At 40.9% G+C, this 13464-nt stretch overlaps 1 long non-coding RNA gene across 1 annotated transcript; it reads left to right on the top strand.

Moving 5' to 3' along the window:
- Positions 1–1136: 1136 nt before the first annotated feature.
- LOC107984976 (uncharacterized) lies at positions 1137–12355 on the top strand. The gene is made up of 3 exons (XR_001753054.1): positions 1137–1281; positions 4766–4807; positions 11996–12355. It is a non-coding gene; the product is annotated as an uncharacterized LOC107984976 (long non-coding RNA).
- Positions 12356–13464: the final 1109 nt, after the last annotated feature.

Genomic DNA, 13464 nt, shown 5'->3' with positions numbered 1-13464 from the left:
ATGATAGAATGTGACTGTGTGATCTATATATCCCCACAAGCTCTAACATGTTCTCAAATAACAAATATTATTCGGTGCCTACTCCATGCCAGGGACTGTGGCAAGAGACTGGAGAAATCATGGTGAACAAAAATAATCATAGTCTCTGCCAACATGAATTTTATAGGTTAGAGGGAAGGCAAGATGCTAGTAAAGTAATCCTATATGCAACATAACTTACAATTGTAACGCGAGCTATGAATGAGAGGTATGTGTAAATCTGAAGCAGGTTGTGTCGAAATAGTTTAAGCCAGATTGTTCTGAGGAGTTCTGCTAGGACATTCGATGGCATGGGTCTGCAGGAAAAGGCAGAACAAACATTAAGAAAATTCTACGTTTCTGGTTTGATTGGCTGGATGATGGTGGTACCATTCCCCAAGTAGGGAATGATGCAAGAAAACTTGTTTTGATTGGAAGATCCTTGATATGGTTTGGTTGTTTGTCCCCTCCAAATCTCATGTTGAAATGTAAGCCCTGATGTTGGAAATGGGGCCTAGTGGGTAGCAGGAGGTGTTTGGGTCATGGGATCAGATCCCTCATGAATAGCTTCGTGCCTTCCCCATGGTAATGAGTGTATTTTTGTTCTATTAGTTCATGCAAGAGCTAATTGTTTTAAAAGAAGATGGCCTCTCTCTTGCACCCTCTCTCACGATGTGATCCTCTCTCGCCATGTGACACACTGGCTCCCCTTTGTCTTCTGCCATGAGTAAAAGCTTCCTGAGGCCTCACCAGAAGCAGATGTTGGTGCCATGCTTCTTGTACACTCTGCAGAATTGTGAGCAAAATAAACCTCTCTTTATAAATTATCCATCAGGTATTCCTTTATAGCAATGCAAACGGGACTAACACAATCATCATGCTGAATATTGTTCATTTGTCCCTTTAGTTCCATTCCCTTTCCACCCTGATCTGAGCCCTAGAAGGCTGACCTCTATGCCTCAACAAGCTTCCATATTTTCTAGTGTCTGGCTTGGTTTTGCCAATGGTCAGGAGGTCACGGGGCAGAGAGGGTGATATCAGAGTATTTATTTCACCAGCTTACTGTTCGTTGTTGGTTTATTTTAACCATGTCCACACCTTGGCAAAAAGTCCTTTTATTAACATTTTTTTGTCAAATTCTTATTTTCAATAGGAGGTGCAATTTCTTCCTGCCAAGATGTTGACTGACACAGCAATGAGTTCGCTTTTGCTTATATTGAGCCTCAGGAGATTTTGAGATGTCCATGAGGGTAGATCCAGCAGGTAAATGAAAATAATGGACTGGAACTCGGAGGACAGGTCTAGGCTAAAGATGTAAATGTGTTAGTCATCTACTAACAGGTGATAATAGAAGCCAGAGGCATGGCTGATGGTGCTTTGGAATAGAGGATACAGTGAGTAAAGAAGACCTAGAACCAGTCTTGAAGAAATCCAACAAATATTGGTTGAATAAAGGAGCATGATCCTGCAATGGAGCCAGAGAAGAACCAGGGAACCAGAGGGATATCCAGGAAGTGAAAACAGCATTTCAAGAAGAAAGAAGAAAGAAGTGATTAACATTATCAAATACCAATGAGAAATTAAGTAAAATTGAGGATTAAAAAAAGTTTATTGCTTATAGTGACAAATAGTTTTTTGATGACCTTAGGAAGGGCTGTTTTAGGAAGTGGTGGGGACAGAAGCCATTGAGAATGGCTTGAAAAATTAGGAGCTGGAGATAGAAAGTAGGCAACATTATGAGAAGTTGGAATAGAAAGAAGAGGAGAACAAAAGGGTGATGGCTGGAGAGAAGATAAGTGAGTGAATGATGATTTTTTTTTAAATGGGGGAGTTGAGTTGATAATAAATAGAGCACACCAATTTGAGAGATGATTTCAATAAAAATCATCTTTATAATTTCCTCCAAAATCTCTGTTATGTGATGGCAACATAGCAGAGTGAATAAGATTGGTTTCTCCTTAAAGGTTGATCAGTATTTGGAGACAAACAGCTCACAGAGCTTAAATAAGTGCTTTACTTACTATTAGCAGTTTATTATAAAGGATACCACTCAGGAATAACCAAATAGATGGAAGGCAAGGAGATGTAAGGTATGAGGGGAGGGGTGCAGAGTTTCCCTGCCCTCTCTGAGCACACCATCCTCCCAGCACCTTGATGTGTTCACCAACCTGAAAGCTCTCCAAACCCCACCATTTAGGAATTTTATGACATAATTAAATAATTGGCCATTGATGATTAACTCAGTTTCCAGCCCCTCTTCCCTCCCGGATGGTTAAGGGGTAGGACTCAAAGTTCCAACATTCTAATAATGTCTTGGCCTTCCTGGCCACCAGCCCTGTCTTGGAGCTAGTAGGGACCCCAAGCCAACAATCATCTAATTTGCTTACAAAGGAACAAAATACATTCATCACTCTGGAAAGTCTGTGGGTTTGGGGAGCTGAGTGTCAGGAACTGGGGACAGAAACCAAATATTTATTTTGTATTATCACCAGCTGTCATTCACAAGAGAGTCTGAGAAGGGTAGGAGGGCTTGACCCGCAGGGTAGCAGTCTTGAAGGTGGGTTTTTACTTTTTGGGGGATATACAAGTCTTGAAAATGTACAGAGAAGAGAGATGATCATGTCGATGAGAGGAAATCTACTTAAGAAAGTTGCCCATGACACAGGCCACTTGCTTCTCAGAGACCAGAAAGATAAAGATGATTTAAGGAAGGAAGAGTGATGAAGCTACAAAAAGGCTCTGAAATGGAGAGGGAAGAGGGAAGTTGAAAACTTAAGTGTGATGGCTTCAGCCTTTTAGAGAGGGAGGTGATGTCCCCAGGAAGCATGAGACCCCAGCAGGGACCCCTGGTTTCTTTGTGTTCCATCCATTCTTCTTGGAATCGGGGGGAAATAATGTTCCTTATTCTTGCCAACCAACCGATATGGCTGCTTTCATTGCTGTTTCTGCATCTTTGAGACTCAGTTCCCTAAGTCTAGGTGAAAAAGGATGTTCACTCTCTGCAATCCCAGCCTAAGAGGCTTGCTTGGCTGGAAAGCTTGATTTTCCTGAGCCAGACTATCCCAGTTTTGCAGCAGTGATTTCTCAGACGAATACTCCCAAGCGAAAACCAATACAAGCATCCACCTGTGGATAAAAATTCTCAGCATAAACCAGAGGCCAAAAAAACACACTGGTGAGGCCAATCCACAAAGTCAAACCCTTCCTGTCTCTGCCTAAGGACTGTTGCTAAAGAGAAACACTCTCATCCTCAGTTCTGGCCAAGAGTGGAAAACATGTGTCTCAACTCCAAGCAGAAGTAGCATTCTTATCTTGCAGAGGTTCACAGGCAGAGTGGGAGGCAGTGGCATTGCTGGTTGGTCAAGGTCCCCCAGGTTAGTGCACAGGCCAGATGGGCCACTTCTGTAGAGAAAGTCTGGGATTTTTTGTTCTACAATTTCCTGTGAAAAGTACTTACTGTATTTTTACTTTGTATTTTAAAATAATAGCTTTATAACAACATAATTTGATGTTTTGATATACATAGTGATAAAAGAAAACCTTCAGCTGAATTAAATTTAAAGGAATTTAATTAAGCATTGAACTATTCACCAATGGGGCAGCCTTCTGAGCCAAAGTATACTCAGAGAGTCCATCGCAGCCACATGGTGGAAGATTTATGGACAGAAAATGGAAAGTAATGTACAGGAAATGGAAGCGAGGTACAGAAACAGCCGGATTGGTTACAGCTTGGTGTTTGCCTTATTTGCACATGGTTTGAACAGTTGGCTACATTTCATTGGCCAAAACTCGATGATTGGCACAAGTGTAGGCTACAGTCTTATTACACCTCCAATTATTATAGCTCACTATGTACAGAGAAACCTTTAGGCTGAACTTAAAATATGTAAGGAGGCACCTTTAGGCTAAACCTGATTAAACAATTCCCCACTTTTGGTCATCTTCTTAATTTTGAGAGACTGACCAAAACTTTAGTCACTGATGTCATTATCACTATTGTAAATATACTTATTTGGTCTTGAAACCCACTGGGAAATAGCAGAACAGTGGGTTTGTAAGGTGGGGACAAGGACTTCAGTTCATTTATTTTATTTCGTTTTTTGTAAGGGTCAGTGTAGAGGGGACCTCTTTATGCTGAGACGTCCTGTTTACAGGAGAAAAAAAAAACCTGGTCTGTTCTAGGATGTATGTTTTCTTAAAGTCTTAGTTTGATGTGACATTTAGCACCAGCAGCTCCATTTTGGTTTGGTCTGATCTGTTGGGGCCTAATGCATGTGCTCAGTCCTGAACAATGGCCTCCCATAATTTTGTTTTAAAAGTCTCCCCTTAGGTGAGAGTGTGACCAAAACTTAGGGCCTTAGCACCACTCTCAATTACCATCATTTTGGGTTTCTGGTCTCAGCATGTCATTCATAGGTTATGGTGCCTTCATGGCCACACATTTCTTTCAGTTCTTGTCATTCCAGTTGAAGAGAGACCATTTGACATGACAGAGATGGCTGCATGCAAACATTTAAAACTTTTGAGAGAATACAGTGCACCAGGGAGACACTATTATGACTGTTGGGAGGATAACACCAAGAGTTTGGAGTATGCTCCTTACCCAGGGTCTTTATAAATGAAACCACCTAAAATTAAATAGATCAAAAAAGGAGCTAAAGAGTTTACTCACTCAACTAAGCAGTCTCTTTGTTAATCCCCTACAACTGAATCTCTATAATACCCTATGTGATGTATTTCTTCATAGGCCACAAGTGCCAGCAGCTGTACAGATACTTCTGTTTAGCCAGTAAGTAATCTAAAGCAATTCTATTATTTAACATAACTTTCACAAGAGAATTTAAAGTCTTGTGTAACCACAGCCTTTACAGTAGAATCTGCTATAGAGCCTATCATGAGGAATGCATTTCTAATCACTGTCTCTTTTACTCCAAGCCATGGAAATAGGACCTAACAAATGATGCCCTTTTAGAAGAGTGAAGGCCTCCTGGCAATGTTCTCTTTAACCTATGACGTGGATTAAGAGGAGTGACCAATGCTTTGTTTCTGACTGATTGTGAGGCAATGTATATACCATTAAAATTTCTCACCTACATTGGGCCTTCATCTTTCATCTATCAAGGCAGAAGTTTATCCATGTATAAGTCTGTCTGCAAAATCCTTCAGAAATAAGTATACCTCATAAGTGCACACAACAGACTCCCCCTCCCTTTCACTTCTATTGTTCACAGAGGCATAAGCAAGGGAAAATTATTCAAAGATAAGAGTCTCATGATAGTAGAGAAGTCTTGATCTGTGATCTTGGGAAAAGCTGTTCACATCAAGGATGCTATCTCCTTCCAGGGAGAAACTTCTTTGGTTGGCTTTACCTTTAGGGTTCCAATGGGTGTACAGTTCCAAGAGTGTGGAGGGAAACTTCTCAGGTGTGAGATTATGAAATCAAGGTTCAAGGTCCTAAAGTTTTGTTGCAGTGTGTATGGCAAGGCCAGTCTTTCTCTGACATTCTCAGAAGATCCAGTCTTCAGGTTCTAGATTGTGAAGGGGTTGATTGTCCTGTCAGTGAACCATAAAAAGCTTTCTTTACCTGGTGAAAATACACTGTGCCATATATAATAATCTACTGTTATAACATCAGCTCTCTTGCATGGGAAAGCTTTTATACAACCAGAAAACATGCATTGAAAATGACAATTGAGTGAAATCCCTCTATAAATATTTAAACGGTTCATCAGGTAGCCAAATGTGCTTGAAGCTTTGATTGTCTTCCCAGGAATATGGGATCGACAAACCAAACATTGGTCATAAACTATTTTTGCAATTTAAAGTCACTACATCTATATATATTTAATTTGGATCATTTTATCCTTTCCATGATGAGTCATGGAATGCAGAACTTTTAATAAGAAAAGCTTTAAGGACTCAGGAAGGCCAAGGCTGCCCTCCTGGTTCTCCATGAGTCCCTGCTTAATACTGGACTTATGCCCTCTTGAATACCAGTGGTTTCTCCAATTCAGTTGCATAGAACTGATAACTGATGGGTTTTCATAGGTAATTTGACATAGACCATAGAGTTGATTCAAATTGTATATCTAAACAATTTCAGTATTGGCTGATTTAGCATGAAAATCTGGCAAAGTGTTTTCTTGGTATTCAATTAATTTTTATTCTACCTGGGTTAACAGTTTTATAAACCAGTCAGTCTTTTCATTAAAGTTCCAGGAATTCTTGGTCCAAATGATACAATTCTAAAGTTACTAGAAACCTGTGTTCAAGAATACTTTTCAGGGTCCTTTCCATCCTTTCAGGAACCTCCTAAAAGACACCATATGCTAGGATTTTGCATGCTTGTAAAGTTTTCGGAAACTGCATCAGCATTAAGCAATTAACTGCGGAAATGACTTTAAGTAGTTATAAAGACACAATTGACATGGAAATTTGGTTATTTCTGTGGTCTACAATAACTTAGCATAATAACCATAATTATGATTGATAACATATACTCAGACATATTAGAATTTTAGAAATCCCATACAATTTTGGAACATATATTAATATCATTCACTAAAATATAACCTAGAGAAGGTTAAACATTATTCTTTATTTTGACAATGCTTCCCATGTAACTTCACATGTCAAATAATCCTGTTGACCTCTCTTTTGGATGTTTCAGGGGCCCTGTGTAGCATCCCAAAGTTAGAGGTCAGAAAAGACAATTTTGAAGCTGAAATTTGATTTGGGGAAGCTTATCAAATATGTTAAAGGTTTAGAATACTTGATATTATGAAATAGAATTCCAAGTCACCGTAAGTCATTTATTTAGCCAAAATGATGACTCAAAAAAATTTAAAAAGGCAAAAACATTCACCCATTGATAGAAAGAAGACTTAGCTTTCCAAACGATCTGTCTCTTGTCTTCCCCTTCTTTTTTCTGTATTTTATTCAAAAGGCAAACAAAACTCTTTCATTATCCTTTAACATACATAAAAATCTGTTCAATAGAGAAAGCCGAGTCACTCCACTTTAGCGAGGCCAAACAGCCAATATATCTGGTTTTTAACCTTTACCAAAAGTAACGTTACAGTTGAAACCAACAAGCCTTAACTAATGTTATGACTTAACCACAGTGTACAAGGTGTTTTCAAAGAGGTGGTTAGCAGTTTTTATAAGATCTAGAATCTTTAAAGGTAGCTGAGAGAAAGGAAGATTCAAGAAGAGAAGCTGGAAGTTGTTCATGGAGGGGCCAAGAATCAACAAACGGTAAAGGTCACAGAGATAGCAACCAGTAAATACTGATTCCCTAATCCAGGAGTGAACCTGGGTTGCCGCTGTGAAAAAGCAAAGCCTTAGCCACTAAGCTACAGTGCTGGGCAATCTCCATTGCTCTTCCCAGAAGAAGTCCAGAGCAGCTAATGTTGAGCTTGCAAAGGCACCTGCAATGCCTTTGACATGAACCCAAAATTCCCATGCCCTGGATGGTGGAGAGCAAGAGAAAGTACCACCACTTGGTTACAAGGTCAAGCTCCCAAGGACATAAAACAAGACAAGGTGGAAACCTCATCCAGTTGTTGTTGTTGTTTCAGGGACCTGCAGGAAGGTTTCTTACTGACCAGCTTGCTGGGATGTCTTGAACAGTGAACTTATGGGGTCCCAAGCCCGTGTTCTATCCTAAGGCACCCCTCTTCATGACAGAAGGATACAAAAAGACAAATTCATAGCACAAAGTACGCTAGATTTGCTACAGCTTAAGACTAGCTTCATGAATCCTTTTTCTCATTAATTAAAACTTTGCGAGAGGTGGTGATTTTTACCATTCCCGCAACCGGTTTTCACAGAGAGAAACAGAAAGAAAAGCATTGCCTGCAGCAGGGTGGGGAAGGTGAAGAGCTCAAGGAGGCCAGAGAAAGACTCACCCATTGCAGCAATACTGAATCAAAAGTTCAGGCAGCCACTTGTCAGTCACAAAGGGATCTTTTCCAGCAGTCCCATCAGCTCTCAAGTTTCCCCCTTTGGGGAAAGAAAGTTCCCCATGTTCCATGGTTCTGTACATGCCTAATCCTGTCACCTATAGCTGTCAGCAAAGACTGCAAGGCAGATTTAAATTTTTTAATCAATTAATCACTTAAGCTTTTTATTTGCCTTTTGTAAAGTCTTCAAATAAAAATACTGAAATCTTTTTAGAAGCCTCTGCATATCAATAGGCATCCCTAGATGAGGCTAATTAGGAAGGCTTCATTTTCAAATACACTTCAGTGCAATGTTGTTCATTTGGAATGTTCCACTATAAATTATCTTTAGTAAGATTTTGCTATTTCGATAAGATTTTGCTGCTTCCGGGGCCTAATACTTATGGATATATAACACAGAAGGAACTCAGTTCTTCAGAAATTAAGGATCCCATTTTTATCTAAATATTGGTTTTCCTTTCAGGTTTTCTTAATTAACTTAGCCAATGATGTTTTTTTTAAATATTTGAGTGCAAAATAAAAATGAAACAACGGGGTAGAACACAAAAATTCCTGTGAATTTCCAACAGCCAAATTTTATACCCTCTGCAATACTGCCATTTACTACTGGTTTCTTTCTGACCCAGATGTAAGAGGCCTCTAACTGGATCCAAGCCAGTTAATTACCAGATCAAATCCAATCTTGGACCCAGTCCAGTTTCTGTCGTGACTTCCAAATCCACTTTGGATCAGGAATTTGCTCAAAGGAACTTGGAGAGCTTAAAACACAAATCTGTGCAGCTTTGGAAACAGAGAGAACTCACCAGGATCCCTGGCTGCTCCAAGAGATCAACGGACACAATTGGGTTCAGTGGGTACCTTGCTCGGTCACTCAGCATTCCTCGGGGGTCGTTAGAAGCTCTTCTTTGGATCCCATCCTCATCCTCATCTGATAAAAGAAAAACATCAGCTGAATTAAATTTAAAGGCGTTTAACTGAGCAATGAACGATTCACACATTAGGGCAGCCTTCAGAGTCAGAGTATGCTCCAGCACGGCCATGCGGTGGAAGAAGATTTATGGACAGAAAAAGGAAAGTGACGTACAGAAAATGGAAGTGAGGTAGAGAAACAGTTGGATTGGTTATAGCCCAGTGTTTGCCTTATTCGAACACGGTTATAACAGTTGGCTACATTTGATGGGCCAAAACTTGGTGATTGGCACAAGTGCAGGCTACAGTCTGTTTATACGTCCACTTGTTATAGTTCACCATGTACAGAAAAACCTTTAGGCCAAACTTAAAATATGTAAGGAGGCAGTTTTAGGCTAAACTTGATTTAAGCATAATGAAATGATTACTACAGTCAAGCTAATTCACATACTCATCACCTCACATGGTTACTCTGTGTGTGTGGGGGAGGGGGCGTGGGGGTGAGAACACTTAAGATCTACTCTTTTAGCACACTTCTTTCTTTCTTTCTTTCTTTTTTTTTTTTTTTTGAGACGGAGTCCGCTCTGTCACCCAGGCTGGAGTGCAGTGGCATGATTTTGGCTCACTGCAAGCTCCGCCTCCCAGGTTGACGCCATTCTCCTGCCTCAGTCTCCCGAGTAGCTGGGACTACAGGCGCCCGCCACAACGCCCAGCTAATTTTTTGTATTTTTAGTTGAGACGGGGTTTCACCGTGTTAGCCAGGATGGTCTCGATCTCCTGACCTCGTGATCCACCTGCCTCGGCCTCCCAAAGTGCTGGGATTGCAGGCGTGAGCCACCGCGCCCGGCCAGCATATTTCAAGTATACAATGCAGTAGTATTAACTATCGTCACCATGCTGTACATAAGATCTCCAAGAACTTATTCATCTTCTGTGAGTGCAACTCTACCGATTCCATTCCCTACTCCCCACCTCTGCCCAGGGACTCACCATCCTACTCTCTGAAAAAGATATACCGTACTGTAGAAAATAGTCATTCATCCAGGTTCAATTTGCTGTAAGGCTAGGGCTATCAAAATGTCCCTCTTTGTGGTTCTTTTCTAGAATTGTTATTTTACCTCAATTCTAATTACCACATTTATCAAGGGTCTACTTTTCTTTACTTACAGGATAGATAAGATTTAAGAGCACCTTCCCCAACTGCCCACTCCCTACCATAAGGCTCAAGAAACAGGTTCCATTTTGTACTATATTATCTATTGTAAAGAAAGATTTAGGCCAGGCGTGGTGGCTCATGTCTGTAATCCCAGCACTTCGGGAGGCCAAGCCAGGCAGATCATGAGGTCAGGAGATCGAGACTATCCTGGCTAACATGGTGGAACCCTGTCTCTACTAAAAGTACAAAAAATTAGCCGGGCATGGTTGTGGGCGCCTATAGTCCCAGCTATTCGGGAGGCTGAGGTGGGAGAATCGCTTGAACCCACGAGGCAGAGGTGGCAGTCGGCCGAGATCGCACCACTGCACTCCAGCCTGGGCGACAGAGCGAGACTCTGTCTCAAAAAGAAAAAAAAAAAAAAAAAGATTTAAAAATGCAGGTGGAGATTTCTAATCGTTTGTTGTAGATCTTACCGAAGAATTTGGTTGTCTTTACAATTACGAAGTAACAATAGATGTGAATTTTGTTAACTTCCTTTTCTACCTTCTACCGTAATCCCACCTCCACCCACCATGATTCCCTCCACCCATGATTATTCTAAAATTTTGGCCACAGAGGGTTTTGATCTCCTTTACCCCATAAACCTCTGTCTCCAGGTCAGCCCTCTTTGGACAGCCTTTCTTCAGGGTCCTTGTGTCGACCACGTGGGAGCGCTGTTTACGTCCTAGCCTGTGTGTGGTGCAGCCAGGTTCCTTCCCCACTGTAGATTTCATCAGCACTTGGAACTCTGAAGATCTCAAAGGTCTTTAGCTCTGAACTCTCTTTCTTTGCCTATAATCTCTTTATCTTCAACGTCTTCCTTGTTCTTACTCTGTTAAATCTTTTCCTTTCCCCCTCTGGTTCTTTGGCCTCCTCTTTCATCCTTTGAAGTCACCTTCCTTCATTTTCCACTTCCTTTCTCTGCTTGTAGTAAGCCATTTCAATAACCCCTTACATTACACCTAATAGCTTGAATCTTCCTCCATTTCTGTATCACTAATCTCCATTCCAAACCTGCTCTTGTTCTTTGGTCTTAGACATGACTGAAAAAAATTTAACCACACGTGTGTGCACACATGTGTGCTAATCTACCACATTACAAATCTTCTGTTTAATTCAACAAGCATTTATAGAGGACTACCGCATGCAAAGCACCAAAATGGGCTTCCAAGGGATAACTTCAAGTTCCAGTAAGGGCAAAACATTGTAGTAAAAGTAAAAGAAGGGTTTCAAAAGAAGTAAAACTCTGGAAACTCAAAGGAAGAAAAATTTACACCTGCCTTCTGAGTTTTGCCCTTTATCTTCTGTGTTGCTGTGACTTTGTTTTCCTTTTGCTTTGTTATTATCTACCTCAACTATAAATCCTTGAGGATGGTGATTTCTTGTTTTTTTTTTTTTTTTTTTTGAGACGGAGTCTCTCGCTCTGTCGCTCAGGCTGGAGTGCAGTGGCGCGATCTCGGCTCACTGCAAGCTCCGCCTCCCAGGTTCACGCCATTCTCCTGCCTCAGCCTCCCGAGTAGCTGGGACCACAGGCACCCGCCACCACGCCCGGCAAATTTTTTTGTATTTTTAGTAGAGACGGGGTTTCACTGTGTTAGCCAGGATAGTCTCGATCTCCTGACCTCGTGATCCGCCCGCCTTGGCCTCCCAAAGTGCTGGGATTACAGGCATGAGCCACTGCACCCGGCTGAGGATGGTGATTTCTGCTCTAAGCAACCCACTAGCAACATATACGCAATTCCCAAACACCTCTAGCAAGTCTTTGATTGAGTGTGACCTTGATCATGAATTCTTCACGCATTAATCCTTTACTTATTGGACTTAGTTTGCATGTTGCATAGAAAATTGCACTTGGTGAGCTGCATCTTGGATCATAAAAGTGCAAATATGACTTTTTATTTTTTCCTAGTTTCCACAGTCCAAGGATAGGTGGATGAGGAGCATCCTGCTTTCTCCTGGCTCTGGGGGAATAAAGAAGGGTGAGTGCTACAGGAATCTTAAATATGGGTGACATAGGAACCTAATAAACGTTAATTTTCCAAGTAGGGGTGTTGACAGGAGGAGGATAATGGGGGCCCAGACCAAATCTCCATAACTGGTCGCATGTTCTAATTTTAGTTTGCTTACATTGGATATTTATGGGTGTGTCTTTAGAGACTGAAAAGTACTCTTTTTCCTAGCTATGGGATTTATACCTTGTTGGGAAAATGTATACAAACTTGCCTCCATGGCGAGCTAAATCCTGAGAGTGAACTGGACATTATTTGTAGCTGGAAGAAAGATGAGGTAGTTTACAAAATGTTCAGAGATCTGAGGGAGGAAATTTACTATCAACTGTTTAAAATTTCTCTGTTAACTTTAGCATGATGGCTTTGCTGATGAGAGTTTAGAAATCTATGGCATTAACACAAACTATGTGTTCTGTGACTGTGTTTTGCCATTGAACTGGCTTAAAATGGCATCTGACTAGTAGCTTTTTATGGATCTCTTTTAGTTTCCCATTAAAGCAGTTTTGAACACAGAGCAAGACTAAAGCTCTTCCTATGAACAATCCAAAGCCAGAACATGGAGCAAGGCAGATGGGGCTGGTGGGAGAACAACCAGGTTTTCCTTCCTGGTGAATTCAGGCTGTATGTCATGATGAATAATATTCCCACTGAAATACAGGTAGGGAGGTATTTTGTATCTCACCCCAGGCTCTGAGTCTGGGGAGGAATCTATTTACCATACAGTTTTTGCCTGTTGTAATTCTTAAAGAAATAACTTCAGAAAATTAAAAAACAAAAAGAAAAGAAGGAACGGCTGGAGGGCTTGGCCATGGTGGGTGAAAGACTGTGGGGTAGTGCATGCTGGATTGTGGATTCTAAGCACTTGAACACTTTGAGACATCAGAGTATCCAGCAGCAGAGATGAGAGACAAATACCACCTCACTACATCAGAATGGTATTAGGTGGGTACCTGCTGTACTGGACTAGGAGCTGAGCATATGAGCCTGCACTCCAGCTATGGATTGGAGAAAGGATTCAGCTGACTCTGAAGTAGGCAATGAATAGGGCCAAGACCAGTAAAATGTATTTGTGTCTTTTATAAACCTAGTCTCTAAAAAAACCAAAACCAAACCAAAATACAACTCTACTCTTACTCAAATATGCATAAAGAGAAAATAGGAATTCAATGTAGGGAGCAAAAAAAAATTACTGAGAGAGTCTACCTAGGCTCATGATTTGAAATACCGTCTAGATGCTGATGATTCCCAAATGAGTATCTCCAATCCAGCCCTTTCTCCAAAACTCCAGGCTTATATATGCAAATGCTGATTAAGCATCTCCACTTAACTATTAAATTGGTGCAAAAATAATTGTGCTTTTTGCCATTAA

This window comes from Homo sapiens, chromosome 17, assembly GCF_000001405.40.
Source record: "Homo sapiens chromosome 17, GRCh38.p14 Primary Assembly".
Lineage (NCBI taxonomy): Eukaryota > Metazoa > Chordata > Mammalia > Primates > Hominidae > Homo > Homo sapiens.
Note: the sequence above shows the minus strand (reverse complement) of the source record. Positions and strands in the feature narration are given on the sequence as shown.